The sequence below is a fragment of the Homo sapiens genome, chromosome 14 (genome assembly GCF_000001405.40).
Source record: "Homo sapiens chromosome 14, GRCh38.p14 Primary Assembly".
Lineage (NCBI taxonomy): Eukaryota > Metazoa > Chordata > Mammalia > Primates > Hominidae > Homo > Homo sapiens.
Genome location: NC_000014.9, coordinates 66,708,284 through 66,723,325, shown reverse-complemented (window position 1 = coordinate 66,723,325; position 15,042 = coordinate 66,708,284). Strand labels below are relative to the sequence as shown.

The following is a 15,042-nucleotide window of genomic DNA, read 5'->3' as shown; positions in this document are numbered from 1 at the left end:
CTTTTATAAATATAATTTATAAAAGTTTATATTTATAAAGTTATAAACTTTTATAAATTATATTCATAAAAGGTTATAAACTTTTTATAACTCGTCTTTACAAGTAGATGAGTCTTTACAACAGAGAACTCTTTACAAAAAATTAAAAAATTAGTTGGTTGTGGAGGTATGCTTAAGCCCAGCAGTGCAAAGTTACAGTGATCTACGATTGTGCCACTGCAATCAAGCCTGGGCGACAGAGTGAGACCCTGTCACACACACAAAAAAATCTAATCAGGAAAAAACCCTATATGCAAAGTATTCAAGGGAAGTAGAATGTGTTTTTTGATGAGGAAAAGAATGAAGGATGTGGGTTTGTTAAGGGAAAAAGAGTGTCACTTTGTCCTAAAGTAAGAATGACTGGTTGTGCCAAAGAGAAAGAGAAAAAAGAACAGGACAAAAACTGAATATATTTTTTAAAACTACAGGTTTGTGGAAAAGTAATCTTGGAAACAGGATCTTATTTTGTGTGGTAGAGTTGGCTAAGATTGGACAGATTTAGTCAAAAGTATTTTGTTGTTGTTGTTTTTTAATAAGCTTTAGTGGCCAGGCATGGTGGCTCACTCCTGTAATCCCAGCAATTTGAGCATTAGAGGTGGGGGGATCACTTGAAGCCAGGAGTTCAAGCCAGGCTGGGCAACACAGTGAGACCCCATCTCCACAAAAATTAGGCAAATTAGCTGTGCATGGCGGCATATCCTTGTAGTCCTAGCTACTCAAAAGGATGAGGTGGGAGGATCACTTGAGCCCAGGAGTTTGAGGCTGCAGTGAGCTATGATAGCTACACTGCACTCCAGCCTGGACAACAGAGAGTGAGACCTTGTCTCTTAAAAACAAAAAACAAACAAACAAAGCCTTAGTATTAATAGAACACATGCCATATTAGAATTCTGTGTTCTCTGTTAAAATGACATACTTTTCTTGGATTACCTGTCTGCTCTTGATAACGATATCGTGAAAGGGTTTTCCCCCAGTTTTTAAGTAATCTGCCTAGAAAATCAAGGTTTTGTATGTTAGAACAATTTCATGTTACCTTTATCAGTTATTTTGAACAATTTCATGTTACCTTTATCAGTTATTTTGATTACTTAAAAAAGCGGAATCCTTTCAATGTTAAAAGTACTCAGTTTTATTTACAACTATGTAACTTCTATATGTGCTTATAAAATATTTTATTACTTTGTTTATAAGTAATAAAGTAATAAACAATACTTATATATAAGTATTGTTTTATAATGATGTGTGATTCTAGTGTTTAAAACCTTCTGACATTTTTGACAAACTTTCCCAAATTAAATCAAATTCTTTTTTTTCCTTTTTTTTTTTTTTTTTTTTGAGACAGAGTTTCGCTCTTACTGCCCAGGCTGGAGTACAATGGCATAATCTCAGCTCACTGCAAGCTCCGCCTCCCAGGTTCAAGCAATTCTCCTGCCTCAGCCTCCCGAGTAGCTGGGATTACAGGCGGGCACTAACATGCCCAGCTAATTTTTGTATTTTTGATAGAAACGAGGTTTCATCATGTTGGCCAGACTGGTCTCAAACTCCTGACCTCAGGTGATTCGCCTGCCTCGGCCTTCCAAAGTGTTGAGATTACAGGCATGAGGCACTGTGCCCGGCCCAAATCAAATTCTACATAACGTATCTTTGACTTTAAATTAACATTGAGAGTTCCCAGAGGGTTCCTGGAAAATATCAAAGGATTTGTCTCTTGCCTTGTAAAAGAGAGATGTTATGTTAATTAGTTTGATTTGTTAAATTACAGAGGAAGTACTGTCAAATAAGAACTGATGCTATATCTTCTTTAGGTTATATGTATATAGATATATGTTATTAATATAAGTGTTTCAGGAGTTATATAAAGTTGATAGAAATTTGTCAATATGTTATTCATGATAGGTTTGGCATAATGTTACCAGTCACAATTCCAATTATTATGTTAAAATATCATTAGCCACAGCAATAAATAAATTTCCTTAGCAAATAAACTCTCATCAGATCTTTATGGTGATTTTAAGCCTTTTGTCATTCTCAATTTATTGTTTTACTTTGATTCTTCTCTGAAAGCATTTACAATCTGATATAGGCCAAAGTGTCTAATGGAAAAGGCTCTGAAAAGTGCTACAGAATAAAGGTTTCTGATAACTTTAAGATCATACCATTGGACTGGGTAAGAATTTCCACAACTCTAATAAAGCAACTGATGAGCTCATAAAATTGCCAAGCCAAGATACAGCAGAATAAGACTTAATTAGATTTGACTAAATAAACTGAAAAGGGTGATTATAATTATTTAATAACCTTTTCTTCAAAATTTTGCTGGCTCTTTTGTGCTTTGGCTTCCAGATTTAAGAAAAGCATTTTCTCTTAGGATATTTATAGTTTACCGCAATGTGGTAGGTTATGTTTTTCTGTTTTTTACAAAGAGACAGCATCTCTCTCCATCAATAAGGCAAGAGTGCAGCGGTGTGATCATAGCTCACTGCAGCCTTGAACTCTTAGGCTCAAGCTATCCACTTGCGTTGGACTCCAAAAATGCTGAGATTACAGGCATAAGCCACCATGCCTGGCCTAGATTATATTTTTATAAATAAAATTGAAATAATTACTTTTTCTCTCTACTTGATTCCTCCAGAATCTGGAAACCATTAGTGAGTATGATGTGCAAAATTAGATATGATGGTCAGCTTTAAGAAACTAAGGTTGACTTTAACAAATGAATGCTAATAAGGCCCCCTGGAAAAACTGGTCTGATATTTGGCTTAGACTCTTGGCTTAGAGTCCAGGAAGTGACTTCTTTATTCAAGAAGTATGTTCAAGTGATTCTCATGCCTTAGCCTCCCAAGTAGCTGAAATTTTAGATGTGCACAACCACCCCCAGCAAATTTTTGTATTTTCAGTAGAGACGGGGTTTCGCCGTGTTGGCCAGGCTGGTCTCGAACTCTTGGTCTCATGTGATCTGCCCATCTCAGCTTCTCATTTTGCTGGGATTACAGGAGTGAGCTGCCACACTTGGCCAAAACCAACTACTTTAAATTTGAACATATTCCTTTACTCTTTATTTTTAGACAATCTTTAGACAATTGAAAATGTACTGTACAAATAAATGAGATTTATGCTTTTTATCTACCTTTTATTTCCCTGATACTACAGTATTCATAATTATAAAATTTAATGGTTATATAATGATCCATTGAGCAGATAAACAATAATTTAGATTCTATGTCACTTTTAATATCAAAATCTTGGAAATAATGTATAAATTAAAATAACCTTCTAGATTACTGCCTTACAAAAAACAATAAAAAATAAGATAATTGAATCAAATTATATAACATTTTAATAACTCTTTAGAAAATGGCAAATTTGTTTCCAAAGTTTTATGATTTACATGGTCACTAGTAGTACCTGAATGTATCAGTTATTACCACCATAGTGCAACTATTACACTTTTTGAAACCCATAGAAAATTTCTGAAAATATGTTATTTATCAGGTTATCTATGATGTTTCCTAAAAACATCTATTTCTGGGTCTCATCCTTATGTTAATGAATCAGAATCTCTTCACCATGACATGGGAATATACGTTTTTCACAAATTTGTGCAGCAGGGAGATTGGCTGTCATGGTGGATGGGAGGCAGGACTACATGGCAGCTCTGACTGGGATGAACAGAGCAGCGTGTGGAGGTTCACACGGTGAATTTTGGCTACAGAACGACTGCAGGAATAAATCAGGAAACCCGAGAGGACCCACAGACCCTCTGAAGAAAGAGGACCGCTCCTGCAGGACCCAGGAGACACCTGAGATAATGTGACTGCCCAAACTGAGAAAGTGGGAAAGGGAGATTCTCAGCCCCCGAACACACATCCTCACTGGGGAAACTTAATGTCTAGTTTATGGGAAAAGATTCTGACCTTACCTGGAGCTGAGTCAATTTAGACAGCCAAGCGAAATACACGGATAGAGGCATCAGAGGAAAAAGTCCTGTGAGCTTTCTGGGTCCACAAGCAAGCCATTCCTGTCTGGCATTACAGGGATCTTTCTGGAGGGCGGCCAGAGGCACTGGGAAAATGCCACAGGGAGAAGGAAATCTCCAGCTGATCTTGGTAACAACTTGAACAGGAAAATTAAAGCCCTACTTTCTTTCACAGATGGGAAGCAGGTAGCCTGGTGCAAGTTCTCAGCCCTGCTTGCCCACTGCCTGGAAACAGACTTGGTGCTGCTAGCAGGGGCATGGTGGGAGAGACCACCCCTGTGGATTGCGTGGGAGCTGGGTGAGGCCTGTGACTGCCGGCTTTCCCCAAATTCCCTGACAACCTGAAGGACGTGTGAGAGGCAGCCATAATCCTCCTAGGTACACAACTCCATTGACCTGGGAACCTCACCCCCATCCCCCACAGCAGCTGCAGCAAGACCTGCCCAAGGAGAGTCTGAGCTCAGACATCCTGGGCCCTGCCCCCACCTGATGGTCCTTCTGAGAGGTGAAGCCAGCTGGACTTCCTGGGTCGAGTGGGGACTTGGAGAACTTTTCTGTCTAGCTAGAGGATTGTAAGTGCACCAATCAGCACTCTGTGTCTAGCTAAAGGATTGTAAACGCACCAATCAGCACACTGTAAAAACACACCAATCAGCACTCTGTGTCTAGCTAAAGGATTGTAAACGCACCAATCAGCACTCTGTAAAATGGACCAATCAGCAGGACATGGGCAGGGCCAACTAAGGGAATAAAAGCTGGCCACCTGAGCCAGCAGCAGCAACCCACTGGGGTCCCCTTCCACGCTGTGGAAGCTTTGTTCTTTTGCTCTTCACAGTAAATCTTGCTGCTGCTCACTGTTTGGGTCCGCACTACCTTTATGAGCTGTAACACTCATTACGAGGGTCTGTGGCTTATTCCTGAAGTCAGCGAGACCACGAACCCATCGGGAGGAACAAACAACTCCGGACGTGCCACCTTTAAGAACTGTAACACTCACTACAAAGGTCTGCGGCTTCATTCCTGAAGTCAGCGAGACCCACCAGAAGGAAGAAACTCCAGACACATCTGAACATCTGAAGGAACAAACTCCAGACACACCATCTTTAAGAACTGTAACACTCACTGCGAGGGTCCACAGCTTCATTCTTGAAGTCAGTGAGACCAAGAACCCACTGGAAGGAACCAATTCCGGACACACTTCCCTACCCACCCTGGTAGCTGAACACAAAGGGTGTACACTCGGGCATTCTAGGGCCCCACCCACCTCTGGTTCCTCCCCATACTACCACAGCTGATACTCTCTGGAAAGCACCACCTCCTGGCAGGGGGCCAACCAGCACAAAAATAGAGCATTAAACCACCAAAGCTAAGACCCCTCACAGAGTTCATTTTACCCCCTTGTCATCTCCACTGGAACAGCTGCTGGTATCCACGGCTGAGAGACCCATAGACGGTTCACATCACAGGACTCTGTGCAGACAACCCCTAGTACAAGCCTGGAGCCGGGTAGGCGCGGTAGATGGCTAGACCAAGAAGAGAGATAACCATCACTGCAGCTTGGCTCTCAGGAAGCCACAGCCATTGGAAAAGGGGAAGAGTACTATATCAAGGGAAACCCCTGTGGGCCAAAGAATCTGAATAACAGACTTCAGCCCTAGATCTTCCCTCTGTCAGAGCCTACCCAAATGAGAAGGAACCAGAAAACCAACTCTGGTACTATGACAAAACAAGCTTATTTAACACCCCCCAAAAATCACACTAGCTCACCATCAATTGATACAAACCAAGAAAAAATCCCTGATTTACCTGAAAAAGAATTCTGAAGATTATTGATTAGTTATTAAGCTAATCAGGGAAGCACCAGAGAAAGGCGAAGCCCAATGCAAGGAAATAAAAAAAAATGATATAAGAAGTGAAGAAGAAATATTCAATGAAATAGACAGCATAAATAAAAAAACAATCAAAACTTCAGGAAACATACGACACACTTATAGAAATGCAAAATGCTCCGGAAAGTCTCAGCAATAGAATGGAACAAGTAGAAGAAAGAAATTCAGGGCTCGAAGACAAGGTCTTCAAATGAACTCAATCCTACAAAGACAAAGAAAAAATAATAAGACAATATGAACAAAGCCTCAGAGAAGTCTGGGATTATGCTCAACGACCAAACCTAAGAATAATCGGTGTTCCTGAGGAAGAAGAGAATTCTAAAAGCTTGGAAAACATATTTTGGGGAATAATCAAGGAAAACTTCCCCAGTCTTGCTAGAGACCTAGGCACAAAGAACACCTGGAAAATTTATCACAAAAAGATCATCGCCTAGGCATATTGTCACCAGGTTAGCCAAAGTTAAGACGAAGGAAAGAATCTTAAGAGCTGTGAGACAAAAGCACCAGGTAACCTATAAAGGGAAACTTAGATTAACCACAGATTTCTCAGCAGAAACCCTACAAGCTAGAAGGGATTGGGGTCCTATCTTCAGCCTCCTCAAACAAAACAATTCTCAGCCAAGAAGTTTGTATCCACTGAAACTAAGCAACATACATGAAGATATAATCTTTTTCAGACAAACAACTGCCGAGAAAATTCGTCACTACCAAGCCACCACTACAAGAACTGCTAAAAGAAGTTCTAAATCTTGAAACAATTCCTGGAAAAATATCAAAACAGAACTTATTTAAAGCATAAATCTCACATGACCTATAAAAAATACAATTTAAAAAGCAAACAAAACAAAACAAAACAAAAAACCAAGGTACACAGGCAACAAATAGCATGATGAATCAAATGGTACCTCACATCTCACTACTAACACTGAATGTAAATAGCTTAAATGCTCCATCTGAAAGACAGAAAGAACTGCAGAATGGATAAGAATTCACCAACCATCTGCTGCCTTCCAGAGACTCATCTAACACTTAAGGACTCACATGAAGTAAAAGGTTGGAAAAGGGCATTTCATGCAAATGCACACCAAAAGCCAGCAGGAGTAGCTATTCTTGTATCAGACAAAACAAACTTCAAAGCAACAGCAATTAAAAAAGACAAAGAGGGACATTATATAATGGTAAAAGGCCTTGTCCAACAGGAAAACATCACAGTCCTAAACATATATGCACCTAACACTGGAGGTCCCAAATTTATAAAACAATTACTAATAGACCTAAGAAATGAAATACACAGCAACACAATAATAGTGGGGAACTTTAATACTCCACTGACAGCACTAGACAGGTCATCAAGACAGAAAGTCAACAAAGAAACAATCAATTTAAACTATACCTTGGAACAAACAGACTTAACAGATATATCTATATATATATAGATATATAGAACATTCCATTCTACAACTGCAGAATACACATTCTATTCAACAGCACATGGAACTTTCTCCAAGATAGACCATATGATATGCCACAAAACAACAAGCCTCAATACATTTAAGAAAACTGAAATTATATCAAGCACTCTCTCAGACCACAGCAGAATAAAACTGGAAATCAACTCCAAAAGAAACATTCAAAACCATGCAAATCCATGGAAATTAAATAACCTGCTCCTGAATGATCACTGGGTCAAAAATATAATCAAGATGGAAATTTAAAAATTATTTGAACTGAACTACAATAGTGACACAACCTATCAAAACCTCTGGAATACAGCAAAGGCAGTGCTAACAGGAAAGTTCATAGCCCTAAACACCTACATCAAAAAGACTGAATGAGCACAAACTGACAATCTCATGTCACACCTCAAGGAACTAGACAAACAAAGAGAAACCAAACCTAAAACCAGCAGAAGAAAGGAAATAACCACGATCAGAGCAGAACTAAATGAAATTGAAACAAACAAAAAAATACAAAAGATAAATGAAACAAAAAGCTGATTCTTTGAAAAGATAAATAAAATTGATAGACCATTAGCAAGATTAACCAAGAAAAGGAGACAAAAAATCCAAATAAGCTTAATAAGAAATGAAACGGGAGATACTACAACTGACACCACAGAAATATAAAAGATCATTCAAGGCTACTACGGACACCTTAATGTGCATAAACTAGAACACCTAGAAGAGATGGATAATTCCCTGGAAAGATACAACCCTCCTACCTTAAATCAGGAAAAAATACATACCCTGAACAGACCAATAACAAGCAGCAAGACTGAAACAGTAATTTAAAAATTAACAACAGAAAAAAGTCCAGGACCAGACAGATTCACAGCTGAATTCTACCAGACATTCAAAGAAGAATTTATACCTATCCTATTGATACTATTCCACAAGATAGAGAAACCGGGAACCAACCCTAATTCATTCTATGAAGCCAACATCACCCTAATACCAAAACCAGGAAAGGACATAACCATAAAAGAAAACTACAGACCAATATCCCTGAAGAACATCGATGCTAAAATCCCTAACGAAATACTAGCTAACCAAATCCAACAACATTATCAAAAACATAATCCACCATGATCAAGTGGGTTTCATACCAGGGATGCAGGGATGGTTTAACATACACAAGTCAATAAATGTGATACCTCACATAAAAAGAATTAAAAACAAAAATCACATTATCATCTCAATAGATGCAAAAAAAGCATTTGACAAAATCCAGCAACTTTTATGATTAAAACTCTCAGCAAAATGGGCATACAAGGGACACACCTCAATGTAATAAAAGCCATCTATGACAAACCCACAGCCGACATAACACTGAATGGGGAAAAGTTGAAAGCATTCCCTCTAAGAACTGGAACAAGACAAGGATACCCACTCTCACCACGAAGTCCTAGCCACATTAATCAGACAAGAGAAAGTAAAAAACGGAATCCAAATAGTTGAAGAGGAAGTCAAAATGTCACTGTTTGCTGATGATATGATCGTTTACCTCAAAAACCCTAAAGACTCCTCCAGAAAGCTCCTAGAACTGATAAAAGAATTCAGCAAAGTATCTGGATACAAAATTAATGTACACAAATCAGTAGCTCTTCTACACACAAACAGCAACCAAACAGAGAATCAAATAAAAAACTCAACTCCTTTTAAAATAGCTGCAAAAAAAATAAAATAAAATACTTAGGAATCCACCTAACCAAGGAGGTGAAAGACCTCTACAAGGAAAACTACAAAACACTGCTGAACAAAATCACAGATGACACAATCCAGCATCCCTTTATGATTAAATACATCCCACACTCGTGGATGGGTAGAATCAATATTGTGAAAATGACCATACTGGGCCTGGCATGGTGGTTCACACCTGTAATCCCAGCACTTTGGGAGGCCAAGGCGGGCAGATCACTTGAGGTGAGGATTGTGAAACCAGCCTGGCCAACATGGTGAAACCCTGTCTCTACTAAAAATACAAAAATTAGCCAGGTGTGGTGGCACATGCCTGTAGTACCAGCTACTTGGGAGGAGGAGACAGGAGAATCACTTGAACCTGGGAGGTGGAGGTTGCAGTGAGCCAAGATCACGTCACTGCACTCCAGTCTGGGCAACAGAGAGAGACTCCGTCTCAAAAACAAAATAAACAAACAAACAAACAAATAAAAAAAAAACAACAAAGAAAATGACATAGTGCCAAAAGCAATCTACAAATTCAACCCAATCCCCATTCAAAATACCACCATCATTCTTCACCAAATTAGAAAAAAAAAATTCTAACATTCATATGAAACCAAAAAAGAGCCCGCATAGCCAAAGCAAGACTAAGCAAAAAGAACAAACCTGGAGGCATCACACTACCTGATTTGAAACTATACTATAAGGCCACAATCACCAAAACAGCATGGTACTGGTATAAAAATAGGCACACGGGCCAATGCAACAGAATAGAGAAACCAGGAATAAACCCAAATACTTAGCCAACTGATCTTCAACAAGCAAACAAAAACATAAAGTGGGGAAAGGACACCCTTTTCAAGAAATGGTGCTAGGATAATTGGCTAGCCACATGTAAGAGAATGAAACTGGATCCTCATCTCTCACCTTACACAAAAATCAAATCAACATGGATTATGGACTTAAATCTAAGAAACTATAAAAATTCTAGACGATAACATCAGAAAAACCCTTCTACACGTTGGCTTAGGCAAGGATTTCATGACCAAGATCCCAAAACATATGCAATAAAAGCAAAGATACATAGCTGGTAAAGAGCTTTTGCATGGCAAAAGGAACAGTCAGCAGAGTAAACAGACAACCCACAGAGTGGGAGAAAATCTTCACAATCTATACATCTGACAAAGAACTAATATATATCCAAAATATACAACAAACTCAAAAAAATTAGCAAAAAATAGAAAATAAAAAATCCCATCTAAAAGTGGGCTAAGGGCATAAATAGACAATTCTCAAAAGAAGATATACCAATGGGCAACAAACACATGAAAAAATGCTCAACATCACCAATGATCAGAGAAATGTAAATCAAAACCACAGTGTGATACCACCTCACTCCTGCAAGAATGGCCATAATCAAAAAACCAAAAACCATTAGATGTTGGTGTGGATGCAGTGATCAGAGGACACTTCTACACTGCTGGTAGGAATGTAAACTAGTAGAACCACTATGGAAAACAGTGTGGAGATTCCTTAAAGAACTAAAAGTAGAACTACCATTTGATTGGCAACAAAAGCCAAAATGGACAAATGGGATCTAATTAAACTAAAGAGCTTCTGCAAGGCAAAAGAAACTACCATCAGAGTGAACAGGCAACCTACAGAACAGGAGAAAATTTTTGCAATTTATCCATCTGACAAAGGGCTAATATCTCCAGAATGGGAGAAAATTTTTGCAATCTACCCATCTGACAAAGGGCTAACATCCAGAATCTACAAAGAACTTAAACAAATTTACAGAAAAAACCAACCCCATCAACAAGCGGGCAAAGGATATGAACAGACACTTCTCAGAAGAAGACATTTATGCAACCCACAGACACATGAAAAAATACTCATAACTGGTCATCAGAGAAATGCAAATCAAAACCACAAGGAGATACCATCTCATGCCAGTTAGAATGGCGATCATTAAAAAGTCAGGAAACAACAGGTGCTGGAGAAGATGTGGAGAAATAGTAATGCTTTTACACTGTTGGTGGGAGTGTAAATTAGTTCAACCATTGTGGAAGACAGTGTGGCGATTCCTCAAGGATCTAGAACTAGAAATACCATTTCACCCAGCCATCCCATTACTGGGTATATACCCAAAGGATTATAAATCATGCTACTATAAAGACATATGCACATGTATGTTTATTGCGGCACTATTCACAATAGCAAAGACTTGGAACCAACCCAAATGTCCATCAATGATAGACTGGATTAAGAAAATGTGGCACATATACATCATGGAATACTATGCAGCCATAAAAAAGGATGAGTTCATGTCCTTTGCAGGGACATGGATGAAGCTGGAAGCCATCATTCTCAGCAAACCACCACAAGGACAGAAAACCAAACACCATATGTTCTCACTGATAGGTGGGAATTGAACAACGAGAACACACAGACCCAGGGCGGGGAACATCACACACTGGGGCCTGTGGGGGGGTAGGGGGCTGGGGGAGGGATAGCATTAGGAGAAATACTTAATGTAAATGACAAGTTGATGCAGCAAACCAACATGGCACATGTATACCTATGTAACAAACCTGCACATTGTGCACATGTACCCTAGAACTTAAAGTATAATTTAAAAAAAAAAAAAAAAAAGAACTACCATTTGATCCAGCAAACCCACTACTGGGTATCTACCCAGAGGAAAAGAAGTCATTATATGAAAAAGACACTTGGACACGCATGTTTATGGCAGCACAATTCACAACTGCAAAATCATGGAACGAACCCAAGTGCCCATCAATCAACAAGTGGATAAAGAAACTGTGGCATATATATACAAAGGAATACTACTCAGCCAAAAGAAGGTATGAATTAACGGCATTCATAGCGACCTGGATGAGGTTAGAGACTATTATTCTAAGTGAAGTAACTCAGGAATGGAAAACCAAACATTGTATATTCTCACTGATATGTGGGGTCTAAGCTATGAGGACACAAAGGCATAAGAATGATACAACAGACTTTAATGACTTGGGAGTAAGGGTGGAGGGGGAGGGTTAAGACTACAAATAGGGTGCAGTGTATACTGCTCAGGTGATGGGTGCACCAAAATCTCACAAATCACCACTAAAGAACTTACTCACGTAACCAAACACCACCTGTACCCCCAATAACCTATGGAAAAACAAACAAAACAAAATACATAAAAAAACAAATTTGTACAATAAAATTTGCATAATAAAGTTTGATAACTATTCTAGTAAGGTATATGTGGACCTTTCTTAGAGTATGTAACTCAAATTATGAAAATAATGATTTATAGCTAACATCTATTAGTCCTTTCCACTTATCAGACTATGTTCTATGAGCTTTTACATGTATTACCTAATTTAAGCCTCATGATAATCCTAAGAAGTAGGTAGCATCTTGAATTACTCTCCCAAGTTTACAGATGTAGAAAGTGAGGCACATAGGTTAAAAAGCCCTATTTAGTGGAAAACCTAATATTTCATTCCAAATTGTCAAGCCCAAATCTGCAGCTCTTAACTTTTGTACAACACTGCTTCTTTCATCTCGATTATTTCCCTAGATTCTACTCAACCATCAATCATTTATTCCCTTAACAGATGTTCTACCTGAGGGCAAACAAGCAGATCTAATGAAGTTGGCTACAGAAAAAATAAAACAGTATAAAATAAACATGCAGAGAAATAATATTTGTGAGTTACCATAAAAAGAAATTTTATACATATAGTGCTATTTTCATATTCACATGTATGTGAAAAAAGACATATCACGACCTGGGTAACAGCTTCTGAAATATGATGATGCATAGACTAAGATTAGATTCACTTTAACACAGCTCATATAATATGTACAATGTTTTGGAAAAAAGAATTCTCAGATTCCACGCCTTGGAACATATTTTGAAATTTATAAACAGAGGAGTAAATTACCAAATGATTGATAACTGGAATCTATTTGGCATATATTTGTATTTGCAAAAGCAATTCTATTATTTTAGCATCTTAATATACAGTTATCAATGAACTTTTAAAATATGAATAACTAAGAACCCAGGGTGATTTATAGAAATAATATATAAAGCATTTACAGTTGTATAAAGGATCTCTGATCCAGTCCATTTTATAAGCACTACTGTTAATCATCTTTATAAGTACAACTACAAATGTGCTTTTCTGGCTAAAAAATTCCCCTCCCTCCAACATAGCTTTCCATTACTTCCCTTCATATAACTAATGCAGTGGACACTCATTATTTCACAAACAACTTCTATTCTTTTTTTTTTTTAATGGCATCAACTTTGTTCCTGCAATCCAACTTCTCTCTTGACACTGATAACTCAAATTGTCTTCTCCTTACTAAGTATTCCCTGACTTGACAAAAAGATACATTTCCCCTTTGGAGTGCTTTGTCCTTTTTTTGGATGTATATCTTATAAGTGGAAGGGCTAAAACATAAAATTAGGTCTGTGACTTCATTAAGGAAAGACATCACTTACTAAGTATGAGGGACTTTGCCCAGCAATGAGAATAGAGTAGTCTTTCCTTATCTTCAGTTTTGCTTTCCAAGGTCAACTGTGATCTGAAATATTAAATAAAGACTTCCAGACATAAATAATACTTAGGTTTTAAATTATGTGCCAGTCTGAGGAGTATGATGAAATTTTACACCTTCCCACTCCATCCCACTGGGACATGAATCATCCCTTTGTCCAGTGAATTCACATTGTATAGGCTACCCACTTGTTATTCACTTACCAGCCATCTGGGTTATCAGATCAGCTATTGTGGTATCGCAGTACTTGGGTTCAGTAGTATCTGTGGTTTCAGCCATTCACTGGCAGTTTTGGAATTTATCCCCTGTGGATAAAAGGGGACTACAGTACAGGCTTAATGTGATAGATGGGGCTCTTCATTTCAGGGTGCTTTCAATCTAATACAGAGTTCTAATCCTGTTTAATAGTGCTATTTTATGTTTAAAAGAATGGTTGTTTAGAAAAGGCTGCTAATCTTTTAGTTATTGAAAGCTGTAGGAACACTGTTCAAATAAAGGCCCTAACAAAAACGTGGTCATCAGAAAGAGGCATTATATTAATCTCATTGGCAAATTATCTAAGATATGATTATTTTAACCTGAATATCTCCTGACACATTATAATACTGTATTATCTTCTTTTTAATATCTTTGGATCCATTTTTTAAATTACTCATTTTTCTAAATACCCAGACTGGTCTGAACTCTTATGTTTTAATACTTATGTATAATAGACTATTAAGAGTTCTTCACATGTTTAATAATTTAAAAGCTTAATATTCTACTAAAATTAGTTTTACAATATAAAATATTGATGATAGGGACTTTTGAGCTCCGTACTTGCTGCTAAATGCAAGTTTAGTGGAAGAAAAACATGCAACCATATAATCTACAGTCCAGCATGTCATGTGAAAACTATGTAACTAGAAATACTTATTTTATATTTAAAAATATAAAATATTCACACTTTGGCATACTTCTAAAACAGGATCTGGCAAATCCAAGCAAATCTGGCAATCTCTCAGACTCAGTAAATTACTGCTCTAGATTGAAATCTTTTTATATTCTTTCCTTATCATGTTGTGTTAAATACTGAAATGCTTAAAATATATAAATATTTAATTTCCCTAAAGGGGAGTTATTTATCTTGTAAATTCATGTCCAGAAAATGGTTGGTGGATGCCTCTAAATGTGGCTCAATTCTTGTGAAATACAGGAAGAAAGTTTTATACTGATAACAGGATTTTCAGCTACAGCACATATTGAGATAATATTTAACTAATACATAACTGTCTCCAAATATTTCCAAAACATTTGTGGAAGCATGGAGATTGAATACCTTATGAGGTTTTCTCTCATTTTTCTCTTTCTAGTCCTATTATTCACAATTGTTGGAAGG

General features: G+C 37.6%; 1 protein-coding gene and 1 long non-coding RNA gene across 21 annotated transcripts in view, besides 2 other annotated features; both read right to left on the bottom strand.

Annotated features, from left to right (window-relative positions):
- Positions 1-620, bottom strand: part of LOC124903332 (uncharacterized) — a 32,329-nt gene extending 31,709 nt beyond the window's left edge. Inside the window, exon 1 of the long non-coding RNA XR_007064219.1 lies at positions 92-620. This is a non-coding gene — a long non-coding RNA (uncharacterized LOC124903332). The remainder of the gene's footprint in view (positions 1-91) is intronic.
- The window catches only part of GPHN (gephyrin), a 1,227,209-nt gene that overhangs the window by 1,012,030 nt on the left and 200,137 nt on the right, over positions 1-15,042 (bottom strand). The gene's annotated exons all lie outside the window — the stretch shown is intronic.
- Positions 3,035-3,204: an enhancer, noted in NCBI's record as "experimental_35767 CRE fragment used in MPRA reporter constructs". NCBI's record gives its function as "activates a minimal promoter by MPRAs in K562 erythroleukemia cells, with activity observed for the non-introgressed 14:67186925 variant allele {active_cell/tissue: K562}" and the evidence as "EXISTENCE:reporter gene assay evidence [ECO:0000049][PMID:34662402]".
- Positions 8,698-8,898: a silencer, noted in NCBI's record as "peak2180 fragment used in MPRA reporter construct". NCBI's record gives its function as "represses an SCP1 promoter by STARR-seq MPRAs in K562 erythroleukemia cells {active_cell/tissue: K562}" and the evidence as "EXISTENCE:reporter gene assay evidence [ECO:0000049][PMID:32103011]".